The following is a 7,567-nucleotide window of genomic DNA, read 5'->3' as shown; positions in this document are numbered from 1 at the left end:
CCAAAAACTGCAAGCCCTACAGCCAGCATCGGTCAACAGAAAGGGCCCAATTCTTCTCCACAACAATGCCCAACTGCACATGACACCACCAATGCTTCAAAAGTTGAACAAATTGGGCTATGAAGTGTTGCCTCATCCACAATATTCACTTCACCTCTTGCCAACCACCACTTCTTCAAGCATCTTGACGATTTTTTGCAGGTTGTGGAAAATGCTTCCACAACCAGCAGGATGCAGAAAATGCTTTCCAAGAGTTTGTGGAATCCCAAAGCACAGATTTTTATGCTACAGGAATAAACAAACATTTCTTACTGGCAAAAATGTGTTGACTGTAATGGTTCCAATTTTGATTAATAAAGATGCGTTTGAGCCTAGTTATAATGATATAAAATTCACGATCCAAAACTGCAATTACTTTCACACCAACCAATAGAATTGTGATGGGCATCCATGTTTGAAATCATTATCCACAGGTGGAACTTCCCTCCCATACCTGAGTTGCAGGAGAGCACATGGTATGACATTAGCTCCTTCTAATACGCAACTTACACCGCTTTGCAGAAATCAAAAGATGTGACATAAGATCTTCCTTCTACACCTGCCATGGGAAGCTGGCTGCCTATTCTGAATTAGATTGTTACCTTTCACCACTCTTTTGGAACTTACCAAATGTCTCCCTTGTGTTCTTACATAAACACACAATAAATTATGAACTCCTGGAGAACAAAATCTGTGATTATCGTTGAATCCCAAATAGCTCCCACGATAATGCTTTGCCCATGGTAGAGCCTCCACAGTGGCTTCTGAATATGAAAGGGTCAGTTCCAGGATTTTCACTGATGCTTTTAATCACCATCCCTTTCCTCAGCAGGGCAATAGCAGCTCATGAACAGTTCCTTTGTACTGAAGAGATAAAATTCTTCCAGAACATGGGGGAAACGATCTTAGTTTTAGTTGTCATAACACACAATTGTGCACTGTGGACCTGCTTTCTGCTTTGTTGATAAAATACACTTGGTACAGCCCACTAGGTTTTATTGATGGCATCTCTTTATTTCAGTACTCCTGGTGCACTCTCTCTCTGTCTCTCTCCACATATACAGACAGAGATATAAATGTGTGTGTATCTATATCTGTGTGTGTGTATATATATATATATATACATATAACCTCAAACCAACATATCTGTGTGTGTATATATACACACAGATATATATATCCTCAAATATATACATATGAGGTAACATATATAACTCAAACCAACATCAAGTGCAGCAGCACTCCATGAACCTGGACGTAACCCAAGGAGATGAGTAAACTGATACCTGTCCTTAATTCAACCAGAAGATGGGTCTTGTCTGCAGGCAGCAGGTATAAAATTGAAGACAGTACCAAGCATGGGTCATGGTGAATGGGTTTCTGCAGCTTCGCACAGCTCAGAGAACTTCATTCCCTTTGCATAGCTGAGAGGGGGTTCAGGGACCTAAGTGACACTGGCGGGAGGCAGTCCACATGGACCCTCACACACACAGAATGCTCCAACGTGTGTGGGGACAAAAGCCCACTCAGGAGACTCCACCCCAGGACTCTGCACAGGAGGCAAAAGTAGCATTTGGCTGTACCTCAGAAGTTGCAGGGCCAGCGCTGCCCCTGCCCCTGTCCCTGCCCCGGTGAGATCTGCCACCTAGAAATGCACTTTGCCCTCCTGCTTGAGGTTCCTCAAAGGTGGGAGGAAAGAGCTGTCACTAGATCAGCTCTGAGTGCAAGTCAAGCTGTGGTATTTTGTTCATTCAACATATTAAGGACAAATACAGGTCATGTTGAGATTTATAGCATTGTGAAGATATTCAAGGATTTTGTAATGCAGTAAAGGATGTTCCTCTGTCTAGGAAGAAAGGTAAAATAAGACATTTGCTGCTGCAGCCAGATGTTTCCTGTGATTGAGGAGCTCACCGATGATCATAAATGACTGTATGACTGCAGAAGTACAAAGTACACAGTGTCTCAAGATTTGCATTTTTCTCCAAAGAGTTTACAGAAGCCAAGGCCCATAGATTTTATTTTTGAAAGAGACAAATGGGAGGGACGTGCCCCTCACAAAATCTGAGGCTTCAAGCAGTTATGGGAGCAGAGTTGTGAATGCAATGTTTGTTTGTTTTTTATTTTATGAAGAGAAACAGTTTTTTTCCAGAGAAATTGTGTGTCTGCTTGAATCCAGGAAAAAAAATTATCATAAGGTGACAGAAATCAAAGAGGCAATATCAAAACATGTTTTTCTGTGGTCACTTTAAAACAACAAAATGTTTCATGCTGATTTCCCCAAAGATATCACTTTCCTAAAGATTATTAAGTTTTATAAACTTCTCTTTGAAATTGTTTTCTTTAATGATAGAAATTTCTAAAATCTATAGTGCATAAGTAAACTATAACATAGGAGTAAGCTATAGTGTATGAGTGAGCTACCTGTTCATCACATTCTTCTATGGTCCGCTCATTGATACAGTAGATTGCATTGAGACCCCTTTGTGCCAAGACACTGCCCTGCCAAGCAGTTTAAAAATGTATGTCTAATCAGTCTTTCCTTGAGGAGATACGGTCGTGAGACATGATGGACACACAAATATCCACAAAACAGCACAGTGAGAGATAAGTACTACTGAAAATTTTTCTCAGTCTGCATAGTTTATTTTAAAGCATTAACGCTTGCTGATTTCCTCAACAAGTCTGAAGAACAGAAAAGTAGGGGTGATATTGTCAGAGGCCTTTGAACCAGAGCAACTCCATCTTGAATAGGGTGAGCAAAATAAGGCTGAGACCTACTGGGCTACATTCCCAGACAATTAGGCATTCTAACTCACAGGATGAAATAGAAGGTCAGCACAAGATACAGGTCATAACGACCTTGCTGATAAAAGAGGATGCAGTAAAGAAACCAGCTAAAACCCACCAAAACCAAGATGGCAACAAGAGTGACCTCCGGTCGTCCTTAAGGCTATACTCCCACCAGCACCACGACAGTTTACAAATGCCATGGCAACTTCAGAAAGTTACCCTATATGGTCCAAAAATGGGAGGAACCCTCAGTTCTGGGAATTGCCCACCCCTTTCCCAGAAAACTCATGAATAATCCACCCCTTGTTTAGCATATAATCAAGAAATAACCATAAAAATGGGCAACCAGTGGCTCATGCCCCTGCTCTGCCTATGGAGTGGCCATTCTTTTTCTTTTTTTTTTTTTAAGCACATTAAAAAGTAGGATTTATCCTAAGGATGCAGGGTTGGTTTAATGTTTTAAACAAATTAATGTAACACACTGTATCAATCTGATAAAAGACAAAAACCATGAGAAAAGCCAGAAGTGAGATGGAGAAGTAAGAAGGGACAAAAATGGAAGTTACTTCAAAGGAATAATCATGAGGACTTAGGATACAAAAAAAAAAAAAAAGACAGAAAATTATAGTTAACACTGGAGATTTTTGTTTAGTTACTATTTTTTATTTATTCATTTTTGTCCTGATGCCTTGAGAGGATGAGATATTCTAAACAGACACAGAAAAATCAGGATTAGGAAGCATTGAGGAAAGGAAGATTATCAGACACAAAATGTCTAGAAGACAGATGAAAATGTGACTCCGGAGTAGCCTACAAGGTCACTGTCATAAGACTTTCTATAGCAGTGATTATTGCAGCTAATTTTGTCTTCCCAAATTTGTATATTCAAGTTCTAAAGCCCCCCACCCCAATAACTCATAATGTAACCATATTTGGAAACAGGGTCTTTAAAGAGTTAATTAAGGTAAAGGAGGTCATTAGAGTGGCCTCTAATCCAGTACGACTGGTATCCTTATAAGAAGAGGAGATTAAGACAGAAACATGCAAAGATGGAAGACGATGTGTGGACACCAGAGGAAGAGGCCATCCAGAAGCCCAGGAGAGGGCCTTCTAACACCTTGATCTAACCCTGCTAACACCTGACCCTGCTAACACCTTGATCTTGGACTTCCAGCCCCCAGAATTGTAAGAAAATAAATTTCTGCTGTTCAGGTCACCTAGTTGTTTTATTTTGCTATAGCAGCCCTAGCAAACTAATACAGTAACTTCAGAAGCAATTTCCTGAAGGCCAATTTGGAGTTTGAAATAAGACACTCCTAATTTCATATACCACAAATTTGCATATTGCCACAGACACTGTGTGGGATATCCTGAGGCCACGTGCGATTTAAAGTTTCATTAATGCTTCTCTGAAGTCCACTGTGCCCGCGTTGTTTGCCCTCACGCTATTTGTGACTCGAATTCTGCAACCTATATTTGAGAAAAAGAGAAGGTGGAAAATTGCCAATCCAAACAAGTAGAAAATTCCCTGAAACGTGGCAGGTTGATGGCAAAATGAAGATAATATTGGCAACTCTCAACCGTGTTGCAGAAGCATTTTCCCATTGAGGATGCAGCAATATTTCTGGTCCCACGTGTGCTCCCCCATTTACAGGTGGACGATTTTTCTCCTTCCCTTGAACCTGGCAGGTGAATGAACAGGATGTGGTCAAAGTGATGCACCTGACTTCTGTGCCTGCCTCTCTCACTTTTCAGATGCTCACCTGTGCAACCCAGTGACACACTGTGAAGAAGCCCTGCCCACAGGGAGAAGCCACAGGGAGATGTTTCAGGCAAGAGGCCCAGCCAGGGTCCCATGTGACAGCCCCTCATGTGAGTAAATAAGACTTCAGGCTGTTCCGGCCCCCAACCTTCAGCTTCCCAGGCTCATGCTGAGAATTTCCCTTCACCACTGTTGTTCGAGTTCACCTCTGAGTGTTGGGGGAGGCCCCTTCTCCCTCTTGGCCTCTGCCCAGCACCAGCCTACAGTCTGGAGGAACAGCAGCTCTGAGACCGGCCAGGAGTTCTCAGTGTTCCTGTGAGTCTGAAAGCAGGAGCGTTCTCCGGGAATTTGCACGCTCTGCCTTTTGGCGAGGGGTAATTTACCCATGGAGAATGGCAAAGGGTCAGGCTTGTTTGTGGGGATGCAGGGGCACCCTCTTAGGGCTTCCAGAAATCACTTGGAGAGAGTATCCTTGGGGGAAAGGACTGATGCTCCATGACCAACTCGGAGACTTACCTAAAGGGACGCACCAACTACATTCTTATTTCACACAAGCATGGCACTGCCCCACAGGCCGGTAGGGTGATCTCTGAGTAGAGATGGTTTATGCCATTTCTACAGATAGGCCTCCCCTTATTCTAACTAAATGGGCTCATCATCTCAGAGTCATTCAACATGCTAGATGGCGTTCACCAATAAGCCTGGCAGAGATTAAACACTGAATCTCTAAAGCTACTGTTGTGCTTGGAAATAGGCAATTTGACATACTGTTGGTCAAGTGAACTTTTCCAAAGATCAACTTAGCAGTGACATCAGAAGCCTGAAATGGGTGCTTGCCTTTGACCTGGTAACTTTGTTTACAAGAATGTATCCGTAACTCAGCATGGTGTCCATGTCTACAAAGACATTCATAACAGTCTTGTTTTTAACAGTGACTGCTAGAAGCCACCTACATTTCCAAAACCGAGAATTGGCCTTCATATAATGGAAATTACAGCAGCTGAAAATGACAAAATAGAATATGTAACAGCGTGGTGGCTCATGCCTGTAATCCCAGCACTTTGGGAGGCAGGTTCTGGATATTCCCCCTTCACCAGGCCGTCGTAGGTGTCTATTTCCTTCCCCTTCCGGATGAAATAGACAATCCAGGCTATACATTTTCTCCCATTAAACTTCATATCAGTTTGTCTTCTCAGCTTATTAAATTTTTCACCATTCTTAAATGAGTCCAATTTATTTTTCAAACTGTAACATGGAATTCTCCTAATAGCAAATGGTTGTATATTTGCATGTTTGCAAAGCATTTTCATATATATTGTTTCATATGATTGACATTAAACCAATCTACCTACCAATATTTCTTTTTTTTTTTATCGTTTTCATCTTCTGGTTCTATTCACATTCTATAGGCTGAGTCACCTTTTCAGGTAAAGAACTTTACCCTTCTGATTTCTGATATCACATCATTTTTTTTTTTGAGATGGAGTCTCACTCTGTTGCCCAGGCTGGAGTGCAGTGGCACGATCTCAGCTCACTGCAACCTCTGCCTCCTGGGTTCAAGCAATTCTCCTGTCTCAGCCTCCCAAGTAGCTGGGATTACAGGCACATGCCACCACGCCCAGCCAATTTTTGTATTTTTAGTAGAGACGGGGTTTCACCATGTTGGCCAGGCTGGTCTCAAACTCCTGACCTTGTGATCCGCCCACCTCGGCCTCCCAAAGTGCTGAGATTACAGGCGTGAGCCACCGTGCCCGACCAACATCATCTTTAAATGTGTAATTCCCTATTGCCCTGAATACATACACACACACACACACACACACACACACACACCCCCTTATCCCACATTGGTATTATAACCATGTTTGCCACATCCACATTTTTTTAAAAAAGTATTTGTCACAGTAAGATTTCAGATATACAACGGAAAGGCCTTCAAAACCGTCTACTAAAAATATTTTTATAACAATGTTAAAATACATTATTTGCCTAAATATCCTTATCAAATTTCACTGACATTTTAGGACCTTATATTAAGTAAGTACTGCCCAGAACAGCGCATGGTAGTTGGAAATAAAAGTAGGCATTTCTGTTAGTTTACAAATGGTGATATTTGCTATTTCCAGGTGTATTAGCTGTCAACTAGTTGGAAAACAATGAGGACAAGCTTTACTGTTTGTCCTAGGAAAATAGACATATTTTAGCAAAAACCTTTGAGCTAAACAAAATGTAAAAGCACCACTTTAGCAACACTATAAAATTACCTCTAGGAAGCCAGAAAATATTTTGTTTTAGTTCCCAAAAAAATGCACTTGTGCCCTTAGCATCCTTTTTCTCTCTCTCTTTCTCCGTCTCTCTCTCTCTCTCTTTCACACACACACACACACACACACACACACACACATACTTCCAAGCACTGATTTATTTAGCATTTATTCTGTCTAGGGAGCTGCAGGCTGTGCAATTAGGTAAAAAGCCTCACCGGACTCCCTTTAGGCTTAAAGCAGCTCATTTCTTTGATATCAGTTCCATCTCCAACATGCAGCGCTCCCTAAACCCAAAACTGTAAGAGTCTTTATTTAAGAACTAAAAGCATTTTCGCCTTCACATTGATTTCTCCCCAGCTCCCCTCCACCTTATCTTTTACTTTCCCTCACCCGCCTCCTCCCGCGCCTTTACCAATCATCTACAGAGTCTCTCTGTCCTGGACATAGGAGGAAAGCCCAGGTCTTCAGTCTGAGCAAAGCCATGTCCAGGCATTTAAAAAAAAAATGTACAATTTCTCTCCAGCCACATTTAAAATTTTTTTATTTGTATAAATTTAAAGGAAACAAGCGCAGTTTTGTTATATGGATATATTGTGTAGCGGAGAAGTCTGGACTTACAGTCCAATCATCACTGGAAAACAGTATTGTCATTTCTCAAAGAACAAAAATGTAAATGTGATTCTATCCAGAAATTCCACCACTGGGT

The sequence above is a fragment of the Homo sapiens genome, chromosome 5 (genome assembly GCF_000001405.40).
Source record: "Homo sapiens chromosome 5, GRCh38.p14 Primary Assembly".
In the NCBI taxonomy this organism is placed as follows: domain Eukaryota; kingdom Metazoa; phylum Chordata; class Mammalia; order Primates; family Hominidae; genus Homo; species Homo sapiens.
The sequence above is the reverse complement of the archived record's forward strand: the minus strand, read 5'-3'. Positions refer to the sequence as shown.